The 27,135-nt window shown below is 41.0% G+C and overlaps 1 protein-coding gene across 2 annotated transcripts in view, besides 1 other annotated feature; it reads left to right on the plus strand.

Moving 5' to 3' along the window:
• The window catches only part of METTL15 (methyltransferase 15, mitochondrial 12S rRNA N4-cytidine), a 424,088-nt gene that overhangs the window by 380,994 nt on the left and 15,959 nt on the right, over window positions 1-27,135 (plus strand). The window lies entirely within an intron of this gene.
• Window positions 22,738-23,238: an enhancer, noted in NCBI's record as "H3K27ac hESC enhancer chr11:28533666-28534166 (GRCh37/hg19 assembly coordinates)". NCBI's record gives its function as "activates a minimal SCP1, AML or CMV promoter by ChIP-STARR-seq in primed H9 embryonic stem cells {active_cell/tissue: H9 hESC(primed)}" and the evidence as "EXISTENCE:reporter gene assay evidence [ECO:0000049][PMID:30033119]".

The raw sequence follows: 27,135 nt of genomic DNA on the forward strand, positions 1-27,135 counted from the left end.
TGAAGGATGCACTCCTTCACTCCCAAATCCATTCAGCATTCACCTGTTATCGACAGGACATGTCAACCAAATATAGTGCTGGCATAATGGGGAACACACATAAACAGGATGTAGTTACTATCTTCAAAGAGTATAAATCCATAGGAGGGGGTCTGAAACTTATCACAGTATGAAGCAGAACAAGCCATGTGCCTTAGAAAGGGAGACTGAGTGCTATGGAAGCCCAGAGAGAGAGAGAGAGAGAGAGATCATTTTCCACTCATTGTTGGAGAAGTTGCTCATGGGAAAGGTAGCAATTAAGGTGCACACTGGCTCTTCTACTAGGTATGTAACCTTGAACATGTTATTTCACCTCTCTAAGCCTCAGGTTCGTCAGCTATATTGTGAGAATAATATTAGTCACTTTGCAAAGAATTTCAGCAAGGATTAGATGAAGAAAATGGAGAGAAATTCAAGCTGGCACACTGTAAGTGTTCAATAAATGCTAATTCTGTGAGCGCCCCTGGACTTAGACCATGAGAAGAAAGAAAAGTAAACTTCTCTTTACTGGTCACCCTGTGCAGCTGACCCTGTTCCTGCGTTTTCCTCCATCACTGCATGGTCTCCCTTCAGAAGCATTTACAGTGGTGCTAGTGGTAGGGGTAGAAGAGGAATAGAAGGAGAGGGAAGAAGGGGAGGAAGCAGAAGGAAGTTACAATGGATAAGGAGTGAGGAAGATCAGTTTTCTTGAAGAACTTTACTTATCTTTTCAGTAGTTGAGGTGTCATGGCTGAGAAAGATTTTTGAAAAGCATTCTGCAATCTGGTCCATGGAAAGAGATGTTAACTTCTCTTGCATTCTCACCTGGCATTGCCAGGGATGGTGGTAGAATTGTTCTAATCCTAAACCCCAAGAAGCCTCTCAGTGAACATTCATCTGCACCCAATGATCATGATAGCTAAATGTTCCTTGTAGCTGTAGACCCTCAGATTCATTCTTACATTGATTTTTCCCCAAATCTATCTCTTAATAATGCTCTCAGACTGGATGACCTACTGTTGGCTTCACATATTTTGCAAGAATAATATAAAGCTCCAATGCCATGGAAACACGTTTGGTGGCTTAATTCAGTAGATCACAATTTTGGCTGCAAATTAAAATCACTGGCAAAGCAGGGTCTCCTCCCCCTGAGATTTTGATTTAATTTATCTAGGGTGAGATCTTGGTCTCAGTCATTTTTAAAGCTCCCCAGGTGATTCTTAATGTGCAGTTAGGGTCGAGCACCACTAATTTAATTGAATACATTTTGAGAGGAAAACCTCAGTCTTAATTTGCCTATTAACTGTAATATATAAAAAAAGACAAACATTGAAGAAAATTACAGGAGAAAAAAATAGTCCTTATCTGTTGGAGACAAATGTTAGCCTTTTAAAATAGCTAGGCTAAAAAGGCAACATTCATGACAAGACTATGCATAAATAGACATTTTTGTCAAAAGGTTTGGCTGATTATTTGGGGCATTGTATAAAGATAGAGACACTCCAAGGATTGGAAACTGGTCCCAGGATTAGAAATTTGGAAGGATTTTGTGTTGAATTATGAAATAAAAACACTGTCTAAGTTTAGCAAAAGTAATTTCCCAATGAGTTATTGCTCAATATTATCTTTACACATTAAATCTTGGCATCCCTAAAAGGGAAATTGAAGAGCTTTGTGGACTTTTTAATATATAGGACTGGCCCTGGATATACCCATAGGCAAGACAGCTGAGACTTGCCTTAAAAGGGGCTGGGAAAGCAGATTGGCTATCTGTTTGGACCCTATAATTTTACCAAGGACATAGAGTGGAAGGAGTTGCATAAGAGTACAAAGCTGTAGTCCAGCTTTGACCAACTAGTCCATTTATTCATATTGCTGAATTAAATATTTAATGCTTATTGAATGGCCATTTCATTCTTGATTCTAGAAGGAGTCCCCTTATTGAAACTGAGGGACAGGGTAGGAGCTTGAGCACAAGAAATAGAGAAAAAAATCCAGGTAGTAACTAGGACCCTCACTCATTCTTATATCCCACAGAGCTTTTATTGGTCACGTCAGGTGCATGGTCTAGGCAGAGCCAATAGCAAAACTGGTGATGCTAGGTCACCTGGGCTATTGACTCTGCTGATAAACAGGGATGGGATTCAGCACCAGCAGTTGCAAAAATAGAGGGGCAGAATATGGCAGGTCACTCTTGTGTATAGTCAGGAAGTACTTCTGACTCATCCTTAATGAAATCAAATCCATGGGTAAAACATCTCCAACCTTTTCCCAAAGTGAGACATAGCCAGAAAACCTCCTCTGGAAAGATTACCAGATATAATATAGAACATCAATTAAATGTGAATTTCAGATAGACAACAAATACCTTTTAAATTATAAATATGTCCTATTTTGGCCCAAAATAGTTATATTAGAGAAAAGTATTTACTATGTTATTGAAATTCAAATTTAACTGGATGCCTTCTATTTTAATGTTTTAAACTCCCTGAACTCCCTTTCCCCGATAATCTACCTTAGTTTCCTTTCTTCTGTGTTCACATGGGACTTAGCACCTGGTATCACTATTAGCTATTAAAACTTTCCCTACCCTGTTTGCATTGTATAAGGTACAGGCCTTTAGGAGCCTGGCACAAGTAAGCTGTCAGGAAAAGTTAATTGAATGGAATGATGATGGCAACAAATATGTCTGAGCACAAAAGTATGGCTGGTTTAGAACAAGATGTTTTTTGCTATCAGAGAAGCAATTCTATATGCAGCTGACGCTGGTGTTACATGAAAACATTTCTAGGGCTAGTCTAAGCTTTGTAATTGAGAACCACCCTCTCCATTCTAGCTTTCTAGAAGCAAAGTGAAGCAGTTTGTGGTGTCTTCCTGCCCCATGGAGGGTCTGGGATTGGATTGTTAGACTAGCAGAGTTGACAGGCACATCTTGTGGCAGGTGCTTCTTTTACTGCTGTTGAAATGTCCAAAGTTTCTATCTGCCTGCTGTACCTCAAAGCTGAAAAACATTGAATCAGGTCCTGTGGGGGGTGGTAAGTGCATAGGTTTCCTTTGACTTCGTATTCTTGCTGTGTGGAAATGTCAGAAATTGATAAATTTTAGAAAAGGCAACTGGAGCCACACACACACACACACACACACACATACACACACACAACATTGAATGCTGACTTATTCCTATTGTCATGAGCAATTCGTGATTCGCCTGCATGTTGATACCTCCTGGAAAGCCTATGTCAGGTCTCTATTTGTAATTTTTGGAAATCAATTCCAACTTTTCACTTTATGAGTGCATTTACAGCGTTTGTAGCATTGACTAGCATTATCTGCAGAAAAATATAACAAAATGCTAGTATCTTATGTAAGTACAGACTGGAATAATTTAAGGTATGTGAGGCACCTAGTATGGCGTCTAGCCTCAGGAAATGATAGTTGAAGATCAGTAAGGATTTTTCAGGTACATCAGGTACATAATGAAGTAGGCATATTATTTGGTTGAGTAGCTCAGGCATACATAGTTGGTGTAGGGCAAAACCAGGACTAGAACTCAATTATCCTGATTTTTAATCCCATAAGGGTCCCTTGTCAACAGTGGTAGATCATGAATATCCTGGGTGATTCTGGAGTCTCTGTTGTAAACAAGAGGAATTTGTTTGAAAATCATTCTTGTAAATTCACAAGCACAGACCTTCAGGTGTGGTAGTGCTCAGGACACAGTCATCTCCTCATTCTCCTCTGTGTTCCAGATCTGACAAATCATGCCCATTGCTCTCCTTTTTCTTAACATCCAATGCAAAGGAAAGCCAAGAAATCAGTTGGCCCTGGACCCCAGGGTTTTTATTGTTAAGTTTGGGAGTCTTAAGGACAGAATCAGGAGTGAGCCTCCCCATGCTTAGTTCATCATATGGCCTCTGTTCTGTCATGTCTCATCTGAACTGTTGGGCCTGAAGACTAAGAATGGAGCATCAATAATTAAAGGTACAATCATAGCTGAAGCTTCCGTTAGTTATTTTTCTCCAACCCTGACATTTTATGAGTCAACAAAGCCAAAGCCATCAATATGAAGCAGACTATTTTTAGCAGTTTCTTAACCAGTGTGCTCTAGCTTTAAATTAAACATCGACTCTGGTTATTATTAAAATTCTGAAAATTCTGGGCAGAGAGGATCCCATGTTAGTACAGTAAACACTGGGCTTTCATTACCTTGTTTTGAAAAACATCAATTCACTTGCTGTTCCCTCCAAATACAACTGCGTAAAACTAATAGATTGTGGATTTTCTAAGGATTAGTTGTTCAAGGTCAGAATCTGAATGTATGGGTTTAGTTTGCATGGTTGATATTACTCCAGACTTCAACCTTTTTAGATTTGCAATATCTTAGCAGTGACATTATCTTGTTATCATTTGATTCTATAAGTTTGTCCCATTCTCTGCTCATCAACAACAAAAATATGGCAATAAATTTTCTTAAAATAAATGACTGCTTTTGCTTTGAGAATTTTGCTACATATCTTGCAATATGAGAGAACTAGGACAGCCTCACTGGCATGAAACTAGGATTAGAAATCAATTACACTGGCATGATATAGTGGAAAGAACACTGGCCTTGGAGCCAGAAGACCTGGTTTCTGCCACTTACTAGCTGTGTGTCCTTGGACAAATGATTTAGTATATTTAGCAAATACACAACATTTAGCAAACAAATTAGGATGAAAGATGTCTCATTTTTTAATTGAAGGAAACTGGGTGAGAGCAGTAATGTCCAAACTCAGTTCTCCACACTCATTGAGATGCTTCAGGGGCACCCACAGAGCAGGGAGAGAAGGCCATGCAACAGGGGTCGATCTATTCACCACCAACCCACTTTAATTATCTACTGTCATTTGTATTACCTCTTGAGCTGTTAAAGGTTTTTCCCAGGAAAGAAAAGTCTGACTGCTAAAAAAGTTTCAAAACCACTGGACAATATACTTTTCAATCTTTCTTTTGGTTCTACAATTCTATCCCCATTCAGTGTAGTATGGTAAGTAGGAGTGTAGGTGCTGGGGTCATATGGCTCAAGTTCAAATCCTGCCTCAAGCCCTTACTGTGTATCTTGAGCAAGTCGCCTTACCTCTCTGTGCTTTATCATCTTATCTCAGAAGATAACATCTCTCTGAGATGGAGAATGATATGGTTTGGCTGTGTCCCCACCCAAATCTCATCTTCAGTTGTAGCTCCCATAATCCCCATGGTTCATGGGAGGGACTCAGTGGGAGGTAATTGTATCACGGGGGTGGGTCTTTCCTGTTCTGTTCTCATGGTAATGAGTATGTCTCATGAGATCTGATGGTTTTATAAAAGTCAGTTCCGCTGCACATGCCCTCTTGCCTGCCACCATGTAAGATGTGACTTTGCTCCTCATTCACCTTCAGTGATTGTGAGGCCTCCCCAGCCATGTAGAACTGGGAGTCAATTAAGCCTATTTCCCTTATAAATTACCTAGTCTCAGGTATGTCTTTATTAGCAGCATGAGGACAGACTAATACAGAGAAAATAATGGTTCTTGCTTCATATGGTTTTGTGATAACTAAATGAATTCATATGTATAAAACACTTCACACAGTACCTGGCATGGAGTCACTGCTGAACTAATATCGGTTATTATTTTAAGTTCATTTATTCATCAAATATCTATTGTGCATCTATTACATCAGTTATTGTGTTAAATTTCAGAGATTCAAAGTGAAAACAACATTGTCCAACCCTCATGAACATCAGGGGCTAATAGGAAATATAAACCATAGAGACAGCCAAGTAACAGTGCTTGTAAAGCCATATGGTAACTTGTGCTTAAGTTCTGAGGGAGGTGAAAATACAGGCAGAGGGATGAGCTGTTGCAAAAGAGGCAACAACTCATGAAAGGTCTTTGAGAATCTCTTGGTAGTTTAGAAGGGCTGGAGGATGGGCCAGAGGATGACAAAAAGGGAAAAAGAAAGAAAAGGACAGACTAGATTTGATCTTCAATAATGAGAGTCCAGCTAATTTGCAAGCTCTCCCCTATTAAAGATGCTGAGCATGCTTGTAAGGGGGGTGTCCACTACCATCTCGGCTCCTCCTTTACATCGTGCTTGGCTTTCCTATCCAACTGTGAGGAATTATAATGTACTTCCTCTTGCCAAGTCAGGGCTTGAAAGTTTATGTTTGCTTATATGTTTCAGTTATTCATATAACTCTGAGATTTCAGACATTTTCCAAACAAATCCATGGGAAAAATGAGAGGGTGGAAGAAAAGCAAAAAGACCCATAGTCTTTCCTAATAACATTTAAACCCAAATAAGCCATCTTTCTGAAAGCCAAGTGAAGCCCTCAAACCAGAATCTCTGCTGTTTTTTGATAGAAAAAAAAAAAAATCAGGCAAAATCCAGGCCTAAAGAAGAGACTATGCTGGAAAGCTCAGAGAAAAGGAAAAATACATTTAGGGATGAAAAGATCCATGTTGAGAAATGAACCCAAATACAGCAGCACTTTCTTTCCTTTGGACCCTGCTTGTCTTTCTTCATGGCTAACCGAATTCTTCAGATATCCTGAATGCATGGGGGTCCGTTTCAAACATTTTTTTAGTGTTACCTAGTGATGTGGCATAATCATTGATCCTGGCACAAATAGACTGTCAATAATATGCTGCAAAAATAAATGATTAATGAGTGTATTAATCTGTTCTCACACTGCTAATAAAGACATACCTGAGATTGGTTAATTTACAAAAGAAAAAGGTTTAATGGACTCACAGTTCCACATAGCTGGAGAGGCCTCAGAATCATGGCAGAAGGCGAATCAGAAGCAAAGTTATGTCTTACATGGTGGCAGGCAAGAAAGCTTGTGCAGGGGAACTCCCATTTTTAAAACCATCAGATTCCATGAGACTTATTGACTACCATGAGAACAGTATGTGGGAACCACCCCCATGATTCAATTACCTCCATGTGGCCCCGCCCTGGGCACCTGGGGATTATTACAATTCAAGGTGAGATTTGGGTGTGGACACAGACAAACCATATCAATGAGTGAGTGAAAGACAGAGGGAAACACAGGTGAATATCTTAAAAGCTATTTGAACCACCATAAAGTTTACAGGTTTTGCAAGGACAGAGGTTGTGGCTTCTGCTGCCATTGGGGTCACCAGAGAGTTTTATGGACACATGATCAGTGCCTGCTGTGGATATATGGGACTCAGTGAATATTTCAATGTCTTGGTTTGTCTCCTTTCTAGCTTAATAGTTTCTACAGAAAAACAGCACTAAACGAAACCCAATAGACTCTATGTGTGCCAGTAAATAACAATGTAAGTATGAACTTGAGGCTCAGCTAGTGCCCTGACTCTAGGCAGCCTTTAACTTTGTCTATGATGTATGCAATCTGTATGGTCCTTTCAGAAAATTCAAGTCTTTCCAAAATATCAGGCTGCATCATTAAAACTGCAAAACCTTTTCCAGTCTTTCCTAGCCAAATACCTTTGAACCTTCCCCTTCTCTTTCTTGACTGAGATTCTTTTTCTTTATGTCAACTCAAGGGAGCCAGTGCCAGGCACCGCATTCAGGTTTGGCATTGAGCTGGACATTGAGGCTAGTACAAAGGAAGCTGAAGACTCCATCTCTGCCCTTCAGGATTTTGTAACCTGGTTTAAGGATAAAGGAGACTGACTTAACAACTGGGGAATAGTTAGCAGGCACTATGATAAAGGGCTAAATCATGTTTCAGAGTTCAGAGAAAGGACAAATTGTCATGGAATGGAGTGAAATGTTACTCACTTTTTCTTTAGCTTTGTATCTACAAGAAACCTTCTCCTGTTGACTCCAGTGCTTGCAAATACTAGTGTTTGCTTCATGCACAAATATTCTTAAATCTAATGACGTGGTGCCACAACATAAATTCTCAATCTGCATGGAAACTGTAATACAAGCTTATGTGTTGAGGCAAAAGGAGCTTAATTTCCATCTGTGCTCCAAAATGGGAAAGAATGACATTCTACACACTTTGAATACTCTTCTATATGTTCCTTTTCAAAGACAAAAAATGAATTCAGACGCTTTTTCTGTGGTTATATGTGTCTCCTTGGCTTATAAGTCTTCTGAATGCAGGGGTGTCTTACTCTGTTTGTGCTGCTATAACAGAATACCACAGACTGGGTAACTAATAAACCACAGAAATTTATTTCTCACAATTCTAGAGGCTGGGAAGTCCATATCAAGTCACTGCAGGCTTTGTGCCTAATGAGGGCTTGGTGCCTGCTTCCAAGATGGCATCCTCTAGAGCAGACAGACAATGTGTCCTCACATGGCAGAAGAGCAAGAGAGGCAAAGTCTCTCTGAAACCTCTCTTATAGGGGTATTAAGGCTGGATGCGGTGACTCACACCTGTAATCCCAGCACTTTGGGAGGCTGAGGCAGGCAGATCTCTTGAGGCCAGGAGATCAAGACCAGCCAATATGGTGAAATCCCATCTCTACTAAAAATACAAAAAGTAGCCAGGCGTGGTGGTGCATGACTTTAATTCCAGCTACTTGGGAAGCTGAGGCATGAGAATCGCTTGAACCTGGGAGGCGGAGGTTGCAGTGAGCCAAAATTGCACCACTGTACTCCAGCCTGAACAACAGAGAGAGACTGTTTCAAAAAAAAAAAAAAGGAGGGGTGGATGCAAAGTCATTCAGGAAGGCATAGCTGTCATGACTTAATCACTTCCCCCAAAGTCCCCATCTCTTAATACCACCACATTGGGGATTACATTTCAACACATGAATTCCGGGGGCATTTCAGATTGTAACTGGAGTGCAGTGGTGCAATCTGGGCTCACTGCAAGCTCTGCCTCCTGGGTTCACGCCATTCTCCTACCTCAGCCTCCGGAGTAGCTGGGACTATAGGCGCCCACCACCACGCCCGGCTAATTTTTTGTATTTTTAGTAGAGACAGGATTTCACTGTGTTAGCCAGGATGGTCTCGATCTCCTGACCTCGTGATCCGCCCACCTCGGCCTCCCAAAGTGCTGGGATTACAGGCGTGAGCCACCGTGCCTGGCCTCCAAATTCTTATACTCAGGGATCTAACAGAGAAGCTCAATAGCATTTTCTGAATTGTTTATATATCCAGAAAAACTAAGCAACTATCTTTGCAATTGTAAAAGTAACAATTCCTCAAATCTCCCTCCTACCCCTATTTGTCCTTTCCTTTTGCACTGACCTGACTAAAATTCCCCTTATTTAGAGATTCATCCCTTTATGTAAGCACTGCCTACTTCCCACTGTACTTTGATTAAAGGCAATAGTTCCTGGACTAATGTCTATGAAATAGTTATCATCCAATTATTAGTTATTTCAGATTCTTCATGATACGGTAAGGTCCCTACAAGAAAAGGACACTCGTTAATACCTAAATGTTGTTCATGGCACATCTTGCCTTAAAGTTTTTACTGTATTTCTCAACTTTTGTCTGGTCTTTCCTACTTTTTATTCCTTTTGTTATGCTTTTGTATCCCAGATTATAGGAGGAAGAAGAGAATATTCAGAGTGGTAGAAAAGCAGGGTCTAGAGCTTGACTGCTTGGTTTTATTAATACATCTTAACTCTGCTGTATGATCATGGACAAGCTATTGAACTTGTCTATTCCTGTCTTACAGGGTTGGTGTGAGGAGTAAATGAGATCTAGCTATGATAGGCCTTACGTTGTCTACCTCTGGCTTTCTACCTTGCCTCAGATTCAGGGGTCTACCTCAGGGGTCTGCTGGTCTCAAGCAGACCTGCCCCTTGGACCTTTGCCTAGGATAACTGATGTTCTCCTCAACCTGTTTTTTAGGTAGAGTGTGCCCAAGATCACAAAGGGTAATAGTGCTTGAGGAGTGTTTCAGACATTTAGCGTGTGTGTACATACATGCACACACACTCATACAATAATTGTCATTATAACATCCAGGTATGACACTTCACTTTTTCTCTAAGAATAAGAAGTCCTTTGTAACTATGCAAATGGCATGGTTTCTAACCTAAATAAATATATTAGATATGCTTAAGAAACAGCTACAAAAGAGACATATTGTTCCATTAGTTCTCTTTATTCCTAGATGATACTGGTCATTTCAATTTCTGTACCAAGATCTAATATCAATCAAAACTGTAGCCAATCTGAGATTCTTTCCATGGCTTGAAATTTGGTAACTCAATCATCTCTTCCCAACTTATTGGTACTTAACAAAAATATTTCTGAGAGTGACTGCTGAATAAGTGACCAGAGATCACTTTGAGTTATGGCCTCTCAGTCTGGAGAAATCATAAAATGATCACAAAAAAAGACACTGTTGGGCATTTCAGAGGTCAGGAACTGTAAGTACAGGGACTCTCAAAAATTTCAGTGTCCAAGTTTCTTGGGTGGCTCAAACCCAGGGACTGGGTTAGACCTTCAACAGTCATAAGAAAAAATAAGAAGAGAGGTGTGTTCAATCAGATTCTGACAGCCTGCCAAACTGAAATCTAACTTTGCTGATGCATGTGGTATTCTGGGTAGAGCAATTGTCCTTTTAATTAAAAGTAATAACTTTTTCTATTGTTTGTTTAAAGGGCAGGTGGTTGGAATTGCTATTTTTTTTTTTTTTGTCTGTGGCAAATCCATAATATGTGGGTCTGGATGGGAGGAAATAATCAAATACCAAGATGAAGTCCTGATGCCTTAGGAACAGAGGCCCATGACATAGAAACTCCTGTAGTGGCTGTGAACGGATACACACAATGACTAAATGGTGGGCTCAGGATTCACATCCAGGGCTGTACTACCTGGAGACTGTCCTCTTACTACTATGCTGCATTGCCTTCTTCTGATCTTGGTTTCAAGAGTTGAGAGTGACTTCGATCAGCTTCCAATCCAACCACTTCATTTTAAAGTTGGGGAAGACCCTTGACAAGAAATGCCCATTTACATGAATGAAAATCTCACTTTGTAAAATGCCTATTCTACATCTGTTGAGGTGAACCTTGATTAAGAACAGGCTTGAGGGTGGTCCCAATGCATTGGCAGGTAGGGTTTTCACAATGAATTTCTCCTGTATTCTGCTCTCTTCAAGTGAGTTTGATCCTGTGCATATGCAATGTGAGCAATATTTTTCCAATGTCTTTTTTTTTTTTTTGAGACAGAATCTCGCTCTGCCACCCAGGCTGGAGTGCAATGGCGAGATCTCGGCTCACTGCAACCCAGGTTCAAGCGATTCTCCTGCCTCAGCCTCCCGAAAACTGGGACTATAGGCATTCACCACCAAGCCTAGCTAATTTTTATATTTTTAGTAGAGAGGGGGTTTCACCATGTTGGCCAGGCTGGTCTTGAACTCCTGACCTCAAATGATTCACTCTCCTTGGCCCCCCAAAGTGTTGGAATTACAGGCGTGAGCCACTGCACCCGGCTTTGAATGCTTTTAATGTGTTCTTCTCTTTTGATTTTCAGTGTATATGACTTTTTCCTCAGTAAGCCCAAGTGCTATATCTATCACATTTCAGCAGGAATGAAAAGAAAGATAACATTTAGGTTCTGACACCCTATTAGGATTTTTAAAAGCTGCAACAATTTTATCTTCTTCAAGCCCAAGTTTTTTAAGCGGAACTAATATACTAAATATCTTTTATTCTCATATTCCCACTATCCTGCCTTTTAATATATTGAGAGCCTTGGCTGGCAGGCTTGATTGTGTAGTTTCAGTAATAGACATCCTAAATAGACAGCAAGAGCAGAGTGGTAATACTCATATCAGCTAGAGACATTTGGGGTGGAAACAGTAGATGGGCAGCTATGTGCCCTACTACCTTTAGAATTGAATATCAGAGAGAGGAAGAATGTTTGGTGATTTAAAGAAAATGCTGAGGGCTGAGAGATTTCTGCTCCCTCTTTCCTGCTTAAGATTCTAGAAGATAATTTCCTTATAGGTAATCTACCCAATGCGAAACATGGCATCCCAGTATGGTTAAGTGGAAAGAAAGCATGAATGTAGCGCTTTAGAACCACCCTTATCTCCCATGAAGAGTTTATCATATGCGCTTGGGACAGGATGCAGAGGTTACTTGAGATTTTATCTGAGGAGTTTGCCAGAAAAGATTCCTGGCATTAAATAAAAGTGGTTCTGTAGTTGATGACTGCAAGGAGGTTACAATTGGCTTTTGGTGGCGCTTTCAGCATCATCTACAGCCACACCGTCACGGAAGATACCAGATTATGACAGACAAAAAGAGAACAGACATGAGTTTTGCCAGCTGCAAACTTCAGCCTGGAATGTCAACAGAACTCTCAGGAGTAAGACCAGTCTCATGTCAGTGGTCATTAGTCCAGGGAGCAATCCGTATCACCCACTGTGCAGTAGATATGAGCAAGAACCCTGAGGGTACCATGTGCACTCAAGAACCTGGCTCGGCCAGGCGCGGTGGCTCACACCTGTAATCCCAGCACTTTGGGAGACCGAGGCAGGCGGATCACGAAGTCAGGAGATCGAGACTATCCTGGCTAGCGTGGTGAAACCCCGTCTCTACTAAAAATACAAAACAAGTTAGCCGGGCGTGGTGGCGGGCGCCTGTAGTCCCAGCTACTCGGGAGGCTGAGGCAGTAGAATGGCGTGAATCCAGGAGGCGGAGCTTGCAGGGAGCGGAGATCTCGCCACTGCACTTCAGCCTGGGCAGCAGGGCAAGACTCTGTCTCAAAAAAAAAAAAAAGAAAAAAAAAGCTCTTCCACAAGGGCACAGAAACCATAGACCCCCTTATATCCAGCTATCTTCTTGGAGAGGAGTTAAATGAGGCGAGAGAAATTTGAAAGATTAAGAATTTTATCCAAATAGAGACTGGTAATTTACTAAAAAAAGGTTTTTAATCAGGGACCAGCAAACCTTTTCTACAAAGAGCTAGAGAGCAAATATTGTAGGCTTTATGAGCTGTATGGACTGTACTGCAACTATTCAATTCTACCCTTGTAGCATGGAAGAAGCCATAAACAATATGTAAATGAGCAGGTGAATATGGTCTAACAAAACTTTATACACACAAACCCATGGTGGGCTTTTAGGTCCTAGTTTGCCACCTTCAGGTTTACATTACTGAATCAGACTAAATTTCCTGGATTCAACTAAAGATAATTTTCTCCTACTATCCAAAAGGGTAGCAGCTTTGAAGAAAGAGGAAATAAAAAGTGGAAAAAACTGACATTTTCTTTGCATATTTTTATAAGATATGAATACAATTTTGGTTATTTGCACATTGAGAAGGGAGAAGAAATCTTAGTGTAAAAAGAAATAATTTTTTTCCCTTTTCTCTGAAGGCTTGTGACCACTGGGATGTTGAGGGTTGTGAGAAGTGGATACCTGCAAAGTAAGCTCAGGGTACATGATGGAATTGGGGGACGTGAAAAAGAGCAGAACTTATGGGTCTTCTGTTCTCTTTGCTAGGAGCTCTGGAAATAAAGGAAAGTAGGGTTTGGCGAGGAAAATCACTTCAAATAGTAGTCATAATTATGTTAATGATAATGATAAAATAATAATTACCACTATAATATCAGTCAAAACAGGTCAAGTTATGCTGTAGTAACTCTGAAATCTCAATGACTTCAAGTAAAAATGGTTTATTTCTCACTTGCTGTCCATGTCTGCCAAGAGTCAGCTGGGGGCTCTCCTCCACATTGTCCTTGAACGCCTCCCAGGACTCAGGCATTAGATGGGTCACTATCTGAAGCAGCATCAGTTGCAGTGGTGTACAGTATTGGTAAAGTACAAACTGCCTTTAAAGATTCCCGTGGAAGTGACACACCTCACTTGTGCTCACATTTTATTTGCCCATAGTAGTCATATGTCTAAGCCTGACCCTTGTGGGGTGTAAAAGTACGATCCTTCCCCAGGGAGGAACAATAATTGTTAGTGAAAGGTAAATCAATATACTTTGACCACTATTTCCAGGTAAGGACATAGTGAGCATTGTGCTAAACATAGCTAACTTTATTCTTACTCAGAAACCGTATAAGATAGACACTATTCTCAACATTTTACTGGTGATAAAATTGAGGATTGTGGAAATTAAGTAACTCATTTTACCCAGCTAGCAGATAGTAAAGATTCAGACCCAGGCTGGGTGTGGTGGCTCACACCTGCAATCCCAGCACTTTGGGAGGCCAAGGCAGGTGGATCATGAAGTCAGGAGTTTGAGACCAGCCTGGCCAACATGGTAAAACCCCGTCTCTACTAAAAATATAAAAATTAGCCAGGCGTGGTGGCACGCACCTGTAATCCCAGCTACTCTGGGGGCTGAGGCAGGAGAATTGCTTGAACCAGGGAGGCGGAGGATGCAGTGAGCCAAGATCGTGCCACTGCACTCCAGCCTGGGCAACAGAACAAGGCTCCATCTCGAGGGGAAAAAAAAAAAGATTCAAACCCGGTAGGCCAGATTCTATAGCTCATATTCATAAATATCCTGTTATACTGTCCTGATAATTTATGATGCATTAGCTAGATTAAGAATTGCAAACTTAGGCTGGGTGCAGTGGCTCACACCTATAATCCCAGCACTTTGGGAGTCCAAGGCAGGTGGATCACCTGAGGTCAGGAGTTCAAGACCAGCCTGACCAACAAGGTGAAACATCGTCTCTACTAAAAAATACAAAAAATTAGCTGGGCGTGGTGGCAGGCACCTGTAATCCCAGCTACTTAGGAGGCTGAGGTAGGAGAATCGCTTGAACCCGGAGGCAGAGGTTGCAGTGAGTCGAGATCACTCCATTGCACTCCAGCTTGGGCGACAAGAGTGAAACTCTGTCTCAAAAAAAAAAAAAAAAAAAAAGAGAGGGAGAAAAGAAAAAAAAATTGCATACTTAAATGTTCAGGGACCAGGCAGGTAATATAAATGCATGAAGCATGTTGAACATACTACAACTTGAGCTAGTAGGGCTGGGGCAAACTACATAGCTCATGCTATTCCTAAAAGGAGCAGTTGTAATTCATTTTAAGATAATTGTTGCCATCAAGAAGTATGTCCAATGGGCCCATTATTGTCAGGTCTCCAGAATTTTTAAAAAGCCATTAGAAATCTGGATTTTCATGCATAATCTCCTAATTTCAAGATGTTAAAGAAAATCCAAGATTTTTTAAAAAAATATATGGGCTAAATAAAATAAACCTATGGGTCAAACAAGGCCAATCGTTTGCAATCTCTTAACTAAGTCTTCTGATAGAGTCTAACCAGCTTGTTGGGAAACAAGTAAACTGAGAAAAACCTACTCAGATTATTAGGTCATGCCCATGGCTACAGCAGCAGAGCCAGCGTGGCAAAAGCTAAATTACTGAATTCAAATAATTGTCATCGTGATGCACATATGTTAAGGGCATGGTTGTATGCACACATTTTTATTTTGAACTCATTCGAATGTTTAAACAGCCACAGAGCAATTTTCCTTTGCAAGCTGCTGGCACGTAACATGCACTAATTCTTTCTTTCTCTGGCTAGTATAGAGCTGTCATTATTCACTGGGGAGCCTTGCTTAGGAGGCAGTGGTTCAGTGCCCTTCAGTTCAGTTTATGCTTCACCACCAGACTAAGCAGCCCTGTAGTTTGACATGCGTTAATTACAACTGAACAACTGGTAGGGCCATTCCCAGTCTTAGTTAAAGCTGGTTGCATTGGCTTCTGGCATAAAGAGCCAGGACTGGACCTGGTGGGAAGCTGGCTGGACATGGCTTTTCCTGGAAAGGTGATAACTAGAATTTTTGAAGGAACTGGGAAAAAGTGTAACTCGGTGTGTATGTGTGTATGTGTGTTTTTTTTAACATAGAGATTCGGGTATATTTTTCTTGAATGAAGATCTATCACTTTCATGAAATTCTCAAATAGGTTTGCCACCTCCAAAATACTCACCAACAAACTTTTCAGGCTGGAAACTCATCAAGTAGCTGGTGGAAGTATCTCCAGACCATCTGCTAAGCATTCCAAGCAGGACGATTTACTGACACGGATGTGTAAACATGGGTCATAGTTTCCTGCTGCTTTTCTTTACCTGGAATGTTCTTTCTGGTCAGCTCTGTCTAACTAATTATCTCCGCCCATTAAAACAAACAAACAAGCAAATCCATAAACCATTTCCCAATCCTCACAGGATGTTTTTAGTTTTTCTGAGAACATTTTCTTCATAGCTCTCTGAAGACATTTATATTCTGCCTTTTGGTAATTGTTTGTGTATGTGTGCATATGTATTATATCATTTCTTAATAGAATAATAAACTTGATGAGGGTAGCAGAAATGTCTTATTCATCTGGAAATCGCTGGTAGTTGCTGGTACATGTTGGATACTTAATTTAGTATCTGCCATCTTGAATTTCACTGTTTGGGTGGATCCATAACTCAGCTGGTATGATCTGTAAATTATTGTCGGTTCCTGGCCTATAAAAAGTTGAGTGACTGTGTAATGACGATGGATTGAGTGTTAGTATGCTCCTAGGGTTTCCTTGAAGAGACACTGGGAAAGAGAGTGCACACTTCTGTGCCTAACCCTTTGCAAGTTCCCAGCTGTAAAGGCAAGGTATAGTTAAGGAAATGATTTTCTTTCACTCTGGTAGACTCCTCTTGCCCTGTAAGTTTGTGAGAGCCCTCATTTTGCTTCCTCATACTCAAGCCTGTCTAAGTCATAAACTCAGTCTTGGTCTGGCTTCCTTCCCCCACTACCTTTTGGAGTTTAATAGATTAATGGAATAAACAAATGAAAATGAGTTATCAGCCTGTACTCTCCGCTTGCCTCTGTTATCCAAATGACGTAGGGTCTCTCTCCCTGGGAGGCCCCATTGCTTTTGATTTGAAATTGTTTCTACTAACCATATTGGCCCAGTCTTTATTATGACTTAGTCCCTATTTTGATATTTCCTGTGATGTAACAGAATAATCATAGACTTTGAAATTAGACAAACCTGATTTTGAATTTCAGTGTCATTGCTTACTAGCCTTATGAACTTGGTTGCTGAAATCTTCATTTTATTACTTGGAAAACAAACTTTTAAAATAATACCTATTTTTTCAAACTGATTAAAAAGATTAAATGAAACCATAATGTAAATGGCACAAAATAAGCACTCAAAGAGTGGTAACTATTATTATACATATTCTGTCCTATAAAAGATTACTCATTCAATATTTATGCCTAACCCAAACTTTGGTCTTAGGGTATATCTTGTCATATAAAACATCTTACTTGAGATTATGTATTCTGTATGACTTCCTAGTTGTAACTGTGGCCTGTATCCCTTTTGCTGTGTTCAAAGTGTCAAAATCATGGAGTTTATTGGTACCTGAATTGCTAATCAATCTCAGTCTCTTTTTTTTTTTTTTTTTTTTTTTTTTGAGACAGAGTCTCACTCTGTTGCCCAGGATGGAGTGCAGTGGCACAATCTTGGCTCATTGCAACCTCTGCCTCCTGGGCTTAAGTGATCCTCCCACCTCAGCCTCTCAAGTAGTTGAGACTACAGGCATGTGCCACCATGCCTGGCTAATTTTTGTATTTTTAATAGAGATGGGGTTTCACTATGTTAGACAGGCTGGTCTCAAACTCCTGACCTCAAGTGATCTGCCTACTTCAGCCTCCCAAAGTGCTGGAATTATAGGCCTGAGCCCACTGGGCCTGGCCCTCAGTCTTTTTAACACAGTGTTTCAGCAGCCGTTACCAATCAGTCAGCACACGCATTGCTGACTTCTAAATGTCTACATTAATTAGACCTTACCACTTGTAATAGTCCATTCTTGCATTGCTATGAAGAGCTACCTGAAGCCTAATTGATTCAAAGTCCTGCAGGCTGTACAGGAAGCATGGCTGGGAGGTCTCAGCAAACTTACAATCATGATAGAAGGCCAAAGTGAAGCAGGCATGTTTTACATGGCTGGAGAAGGAGGAAGAGAGAGTGAAGGGGGTGGTGCTACACACTTTTAAACAACCAGATCTCCTAAGAACTCACTATCACAAGAACAGCAAAGGGAAAATCCAACCCCCATAATCCCATCACCTCCCACCAGGCCCCTCCTCCAACACAGGGGATTACAATTTGACCTGAGACTTGGGCAGGGTAACAAATCCAAACTGTATCATCACTTTAGACCTTACCACTTCCCTCAACTCCAGACATATATCCAGCCATGTACATGGCTTCCCTTCTTTGATTCAACGGACTTCTTAAACTTAATGCTTCCAGTACAGAAACCTCGATTTTCATTTTCAAAAAATCTCCCCTACTCTTTCTCATCTCAGAAATGGGACCCTAATTTTTTCAGATGTGCTTAGTTTCCAGTCCTGGAAATAATCTTGGAATTATTCTGTTTTCTTCATATCTAATCAATTGGTCCTGTTATTTTCTTCTCTAACCACTTCTTGTCCCGCAAACTGCTACTTCTCAAGTCCCTGAGACCATCACACCTTTCCTGGATTATCATAAACTCTTCACCACATTGCACCTTTACTCCATTCCAGTTCTCCTCATTCTATTTTTCATAAAGAAATTGGAGTGATATTTTTAAATGTAAATCAGGTCACCCAACTTATCATCTCAAAACCTCCCAGTGGTTTCCCAGCCCATTATAAAAGATCTGAAATCCTCATCATGTCCCCTAAAGTGACACGTACTCTTGTGTCTGCCTAATTTCTAACGTCATTTTTTCCCGTCCTGTACTACAGTTGTAAAATGCTTGTTCTTCTGCTTTTAAAACACTTCAAACTTATTTCCTGCTCAGAGCCCTGCCTCTACCCTCATCAGCCAGTCCCTCTTCAGTCCTTATTTTTTTTTTCATAGCATTTATTACCACATGGAATGTTTTTTGGTCAGTTTTTGTTTTCTCCTTCCTGTCAGTAGTATGTAAAGCCTACTGGAATTTATACAAGAGACAGGATGTTGTCAATTTTATTGCTGTAACTAACATCTAGAGCGGAATCTGTTATATAATAGCTGCCTAACAAATACTTTTCAGTAGGTTAATGAATGACTGCATGAATGTATCTATCCATCATTTCTATTTTAGAATTTATCAACACCATCACTATTAACTGTAATTCTGTTCTTATCCAACTACCTACTTATCCATCCACCCAAAGAAGATTTATTGGCACCAATTTTGTGCCCCATTGATAGTCTAATTAGAGAAACAAAATCTACCACCAAGTATCAGGCAGGAGCATATTTTCACTTGGTATAAACTGATGTTTCCACATCTCTAGGGGATCTTTTTGTCCCTTAGTCACTTCTCTTCATGGCCACCAACTAATAGGCTCTCTCTTAATTCTTGCAATGCCTACTTGGTTTAATTCTGTATAATCATCAGGTTACTCTGGCTTTGGGGGATGCTGATTTAAGAATGGGCTACCAATACCTCTTTTGTCTGCAATCATTTGGTATTTAAGGATTATTTCTTGCCAAAAAAAAATTGTTAAACCAAAAAGGCAAGGGACATCATTTAGGGATAAGACCAAAGTACCTGGTCCTGGTTTGGTAAATCAAATGGGTTGGCATGAGGCCAAGATGGGCATGGCATAGTAATGTTAACCTACAGACTGACCAACGTAGTGCATAAGGGAGCCAGTTTTCATGTTTCTAGACCATGATATCTACTGTCTAAATTTCCTGGGCCTCCTTTTTTTGACTAGGTAGTGTCCACCTTTTCATTGACGATAATGTTAAAAGGCCTCTGTGGCACAGGTTTGCAATTTCTATGCTTTCTTGATGTTGAAAGCATCATAGAGTTAAAATCAGGCTGCAGCTGTTGCTTGTTAGTACCATAACTTTGCCATATGTTCTAAGGTTTGTGAAATGGAGAATAAATCCCTTGGAGCTGGAGATTTTCAAACTCTTGGATTTCAGTGTAAACATAAGGTATTCTACTTTTGAAAGAACTGTGAATGTCTGAAGCATTTTGACAAAATCATCTTTGATCTCAGGAAGCCAGCATAGTGCTTAGCACAAAGTCAATGTGTAATTGATGTATGATGAGTGAGGTTTTTCTAACTTTTTCAACAACTGCCCAGTCCTGGAATGGGTTTAAGATTAACCTGCTTTCCTCTCGTTGCACTAAGTCAATCCTTTATTTAAAAAAAAAAAAAAAGCAAGACTTATCTTTTGGATGCAACTTTTTTTGCCTTTACATCCCAGATGTAGAATAATAAGATGGAAGATTCTTGGGCAGAAAAGCAGGAGACCTTGTTTCTGCTTCAGTATGGGCTGATAACTGAGTTGTGAACTTGTGTAAGTTGTTTTACCTCTCTGGGCTTTTGCTTCTTTGTTTGTAAAATGAAGGGCTCAAATTAGATCTCCTAAGAGTTCTTCTGTATTTCACATTCTGTGAGTTTCTTGCTTAGACACCCCCAACCTTATGTCTAAGCATGCTAAGGGAGAGTGTGTTATGGGGAGCTCATTGCATTTCAGGTGTTTTCCTCCATATTGAATTAAATCCCTCACTTGTCTCTGCTTTGTACCTCCTGCAACTTTATTTTAGGTTGTAGAGTTGGCTGCCAGGTATCATTTTTTTTTTCTATTCTTCTTGAACTAAGTAGTAAAAGAGTTACTATGACAATGGAGTAATTTTCCTGGATGCCCACATTCAATTTGCTTAAGTAGATATTAGGATGGCAACATGTTTCATTAGCTCCGAGGCCCTTGGGATGTAACACTGAAGTGCTATGCAGGCCAGAGCTTCAGGTTAAGCCCATTGAAACCTGGATCTATTGACTGTGTAGAGATGACATTTTCCTTACAGCGCCTGTGTCTCAGTTGTTTGGACTTGATAAGTATCAAAATAAATTACTAAAGGAAATTATAAGAAGATCTGCTACTTCAGCTAACAAAAAAAGAAATGGAATAAAAACTTTAAGCACAGTACTAGATACCATAAATCAGAAAGTAAATAGCCAAGATATTAAAAAATATGTTTTGCATCTGTTTGTTTATTTTCCTTTGATGTAAAAGAGGAAAATAGACCTTTATCTAAATTAAAGATTAGATTCCCAAAGGCAGTATATTAAGCAGATGGAAATTATATGTAGCTAATGTCCAATAGTGAGAAAATGGAGTGAGTTTGGTCATTTGAGTAAAATACCAATTCTGATTAATAATCATAACAGTAATAAAATAAACATTAATGTTTATAATAGTAGTATCAGTGAACAATTTTGAATGCTATGTGTCAGACATTATGTTGATGATTACCACATGAAGTATATGTTATTATTATTATTCCAGTTTTACAGGTAAGAGAAATGGAGGTTTAGAGAGGTTGATGACGGGCCCAAAATCATGTTAAGTATGCAAACTGAGTAGCTGATTTGGGATTATCTCATTCTCACATCTTATACTTAGCCTTAATCTATACTTGCATACTCTAAACATACCATACTACTGCCCAAATCATTGCAAATGATGCAATTAAAAGCTGGAGAAGGTTTCAGAGTGCATAATCTCAGACTTCCTCAAGTACTCAGCCTGTGTTAAGTGTGGGTCTGTCTGGGCACTAATTTGGAAATGACAAGTTGGACAGGCTGGGGTTGGTGCATGTTACAACCCTGGGATGACTTTATGAGACACACTGGAGGGCTTCTGAAGGGAGGCTAGTGATGTATCGTAGACTTCTTAAGATTTTTTTACAATTAAAGAGAACCCAGGAAGGCCACCTATTGTTAATATTTTAAAAGTACTGGGAAATAAACTATATACACATGTACGCACTCATATACACACATTCTCTATTCAATGCAAGGATGGTATAGTTGACCCTTGACCAACACAGTGGGGGTGCTGACCCCCTGCGTAGTAGAAAATCCATGTTTAAATTTTGACTCTCCCCAAAACTTAACTACTAATAGCCTGGTGTTGACCTGAAGTCTTATTGATAACATAAACAGTTTATTAACATGTATTTTGTATGTCACATGTATTATATATACTGTATTTTTACAATATAATGTAAGCTAGATAAAAGAATATGTTATTAAGAGAATCATAAGGAAGAGAAAATGTGTTTACTATTGTGTTCGGAATTGGTGGGTTCTTGGTCTCACTGACTTCAAGAATGAAGCTGTGGACCCTCGCTGTGAGTGTTACAGTTCTTAAAGGTGGCGTGTCCGGAGTTTGTTCCTTCTGATGTTCGGATGTCTTCAGAGTTTCTTCCTTCTGGTGGGGTTCGTGGTCTCACCGGCTCAGGAGTGAAGCTGCGGACCTTCGCGGTGAGTGTTACAGCTCTTAAGGCAGCGCCTCTGGAGTTGTTCGTTCCTCCTGGTGGGTTCATGGTCTCACTGGTTTTAGGAGTGAAGCTGCAGACCTTTGCGGTGAGTGTTACAGCTCATAAAGGCAGTGTGGACCCAAAGAGTGAGAAGCAGCAGGATTTATTGCAAAGAGCGAAAGAACAAAGCTTCCACAGTGTGGAAGGGGACTAGAACGGGTTGCCACTGATGGCTCTGGCAGCCTGCTTTTATTCTCTTATCTGGCCCCACCCACATCCTGCTGATTGGTCCATTTTACAGAGAGCGGGAGTGGTCTGTTTTGACAGGGTGCTGATTGGTGCATTTACAATCCCTGAGCTAGACACAAAGGTTCTCCACGTCCCCACTAGATTAGCTAGATACAGAGTGTCGATTGGTGCATTCACAAACCCTGAGCTAGACACAGGGTGCTGATTGGTGCGTTTACAATCCCTGAGCTAGACACAAAAGTTCTCCACCTCCCCACTAGATTATCTAGATATGGAGTGTCCACACAAAGGTTCTCCAAGTCCCCACCAGAGTAGCTAGATACAGAGTGTTGATTGGTGCATTTACAACCCTTAGCTAGACATAAAGGTTCTCCAAGTCCCCACCAGAGTCAGGAGCCCATCTGGCTTCACCCAAGTGGATCCCGCACCGGGGCAGCAGGTGGAGCTGCCTGCCATTCCCACGCAGTGCGCCCGCACTCCTCAGCCCTTGGGTGGTTGATGGGACTGGGCACCGTGGAGCAGGGAGCAGCGCTCATCAGGGAGGCTTGGGCTGCACAGGAGCCCAAGGAGATGGGGAGGCTCAGGCATGGCAGGCTGCAGGTCCTGAGCCCTGCCCAGTGGGGAGGCAGCTAAGGCCCGGTGAGAAATCAATCTCAGCGCCGGTGAGCCGGCACTGCTGGGGGACCCAGTACACCCTCCGAGGCAGCTGGCCCGGGTGCTAAGCCCCTCATTGCCTGGGGCTGGCAGGGCTGGCCGGCCACTCTGAGTGCAGGGCCTGCCAAGCCCATGCCCACCCAGAACTCCAGCTGGCCCGTAAGTGCCACGCACAGCCCCGGTTCCCTCTCGCGCCTCTCCCTCCACACCCCCCTGCAAGCTGAGGGAGCCAGCTCCAGCCTTGGCCAGCCCAGAAAGGGGCTCCCACAGTGCAGTGGTGGGCTGAAGGGCTCTTCAAGTGCTGCCAAAGTGGGAGCCCAGGCAGAGGAGGCACTGAGAACGAGCAAGGGCTGCGAGGGCTGCCAGCATGCTGTCACCTCTCACTATGTATTAAGTAGAAGTGGATCATCATAAGGTCTTTGTTCTTGTCTTCACATTGAGTAGACTGAGGAGGAAGAGAAAGAGGAGGGATTGGTCCTGCTTTCTCAGGGGTGGCAGAGGAGAAAGAAAATTTGCATGTAAGTGGACTTGCATAGTTCAAACTCATGTTTTTCAAGGGTCAACTGTACTTAGACACTGAAATGATTACAAGAACTCACTGCACATTTTCTTCCAGACTCAAACTGTAGGTTCCATACTCGCAGTAAACATTGCATGTCAAGAGAGCAGAACAGAGCCCACTGTTCAGATAGGACTTGCATATGACTGGGACGTCTCCAAATGTGCAGGCCATCCTCTAACTGGTTTATTTTTTAGGCGGGAGACATGGGGTGGGGCATAAGAAAATGAGACTGAGTCCAGTGGAGCTGTGCTTATGCCTTTGCTGTACCACTTACCGGCTGCAACGTCTTAGGAAACTGATTTAACTCTCTGATTATCAGTTCCCTCAGCAGTAAAATGGGGATGATTTCTTACAAAGCAGCAAAGCCAGGACTCTGGTGAGTTGGTAGAGTAGAGTAGCATGAAATCTACCTGCATGAGGTGCCGAGACCAGCTCGGTTGGGGAGACCCTAACCCAGAGGTGCTAGAGGAATTAAAGACACACACACAGAAATATAGAGGTGTAAAGTGGGAAATCAGGGGTCTCACAGCCCAGAGCTGAGAGCCCCGAACAGAGATTTACCCACCTATTTATTAACAGCAAGCCAGTCATTAGCATTGTTTCTATAGATATTCAATTAACTAAAAGTAACCTTTATGGGAAACAAAGGGATGGGCCGAAATAAAGGGGTGGGTCTGGCTAGTTATCTGCAGTAGGAACATGCCCTTAAGGCACAGATCGCTCATGCTATTGTTTGTGGTTTAAGAACGCCTTTAAGCAGTTTTCCGCCCTGGGCGGGCCAGGTGTTCTTTGCCCTCATTCCGGTAAACCCACAACCTTCTAGCGTGGGCATTATGACCATCATGAACATGTCACAGTGCTGCAGAGATTTTGTTTATGGCCAGTTTTGGGGCCAGTTTATGGCCAGATTTTGGGGGGCCTGTTCCCAACAATGGGGATCTTGGAGAAACTCGAGGGAAGGTACATGATGTGTTGACCTTCACTTAATGTGGTAGACATTGTAATTATCTTCCCAGATCCATTCCACCCCTCCCCCATTACACTGTTAGGGTGCAGATTGGGTGGGCCTTAAGTAGCAAAAGCCAATCAGCATTCTTTCATCCCCTTTGACACAGTAATTGTTTCGGGGATGGGCAGAAACCATAGGTCTAAGCCAATCAACATATGCCATCTACCCGACCAAGTTAGTCAAGTCAGAACCTGGGACTATTTTATCTATGATTGGAGAAAGGATAGGACCCCTCTCTTAGCTTGAATGATATGATATGTGTTTATAAGATCTGAGACTGCTGCAGCCACAAGGGAAGTCACTTGAAGATATAGATGTCATATATAGGAGGATAGAGAAAAGAGAATGCTAAGGAAATGGAGCCAGAGTCCTGAACGAACTATTTCTAAATTCCATACTAGCTTTTTTCACACAAATAAGATAATTCCCTTTGTGGTTTAAATCAGTTGATCTGAGTTTTGAATTGCTATTACTTGCAACTAAAAGCATGCTAAGAAATTCATCCCCCGCACTTACAATCCTTTAGTTGTCAGAGGACAGGAATGCTTATGAGTTCAGAGTGTGCCTGTCTCTTAAACTTGTTCCCTGTTGAAGTGTTGACACCTTCTATATCCCAGCCCTGTTCACCTTGCCACCACCAAACTTTGGACACATGTTTGATGCCTAGGCTGAGATAGCTTTGTAACTAGAAGTTAAATGAGAATTTTACTACACTCTGAGGCACATTGGGTTCAAGCTGCATTGCTTCAAGAACATCTAATGAACATTAATGCAAAACAAGGGACTAGATCTTTTACTATGCCCACAGATCTCCACAGAGGTTTGGCCATAGAGGATAGCAATGCATTTGTGAAGAGCATATAGTGGCTATTTTTCTTTGCCAGGTTATCTGTGACATCTTACACCTAAATTTAAAGAAATAATGATATCTATGTACATTAAGTATGGCTACTACAGTTTTAAAACAGGCCTATGGAATAAAATATATCACGTTTTACCACTTTTTAATTGACTGCCTAATAAGCTATGAGAGAGGGGACAGGAAAGCAGCAAAGGAGGAAAAGCATAAGAAAGAATAAATGATTCTAGGAGCCAGAAAGGGTCAGGGAACTGGTAAATAGGAGAACCAAATCATGTGGCTCTGCTTTAAGCTTATCTTGGTGGCTCTTTTAACTCTACATATTTAATCCTGAACTTATAAACCTTGTACTAGTATCATGTATTAGTAAAGGCAAAGCTAACTTACTTAACAAATAAGCACCAAAATTTCAATGGCCTAATACAATAGAATTTTCCTATTATATTCATGTAACAAGCCAAGACAGGCAATCCTGATCTGTGTTGTTGATTTTTCTCCATGAGGGATTCAAGAACTCAGCCTTCTTTTATCTCATGGTCTGCTATCCTATAAGGCAGGAGTTGGTAACTTACAGCCTATGGGCTACATATGGCCCTTCACCTCTTTTTTTGTAAATAAAACTTTATTAAAACACAGTTCCAAATACTTGTTTATGTATTGCCATGCCTACTTTGCACTATAAAGGCATTGTTGAGCAGTTATGACAGAGATCATATGGCAATAAGGCATAAAGTATTTATTACCTAGAAAAAGTTTGTCAATGCTTGCTATAGGTCCCATTTTTAATCTACATTGAACCAGCAGGAATCGAAGTGCATGAAGAAGTTACAACCACTTCTTTAAAGCCTTGGATCAGGCAAGACACATATTTCCCCTATTTCCATTTCATTAATAAAAACACATAGCCACAATAGATGCAAGAAGTGCTGGAAAGTCTCTAAGTCAGTCTCTAGCTAAGCCTCTTCTCAGAAATATCTCAGCATCAGAAAGGGTGAACATACATCTTGATAGACAGCTATCTGTTTCTGTCACAAAACATCTAATCGTAAGCCCAAAGGGAACCACAGAAGTTATACTTAATTAGTTCATACTCATCAAGTGTACCCTATGTTTTGAACATGTTGGGTTATTACAAAGAGAGGTGAATAAGACTCAATCAAATAAGTGAAACCACATATATAGATTTATTTCATGCTTGTTACAGAAAATTCAAATTCAAGACAGTCATCTAGAATGATTGTGGAGTGAATGATGGGCTGGTTGGGGAAAGGAATCTGGTTCTTGGTACAGTGCTGCCCTAGATATTAGCTATTGGCTATTACCAGGTGGGTGGTGGGGGGATTGCAGAATGATTTTGTTCTGCTTAAAAGACTTGGGGCAGAGACTGTCAGAATTGGGCATCAGTGGGCATGGAGATCCAGGTTACATGGGCACTGTCATGAAGCTCACCAAAGAACTGTGCTAGCAATGAAGGAAGATTGAAGTTGTCAGCAATAAAACTAGCCTCAGCTGATGAGCTGAGGAGTGAAGATAAACTTGCCTATCAGGTCTTTGTAATTTAAATTAAGTTCTT

Source organism: Homo sapiens, chromosome 11 (genome assembly GCF_000001405.40).
Source record: "Homo sapiens chromosome 11, GRCh38.p14 Primary Assembly".
Classification (NCBI taxonomy): domain Eukaryota; kingdom Metazoa; phylum Chordata; class Mammalia; order Primates; family Hominidae; genus Homo; species Homo sapiens.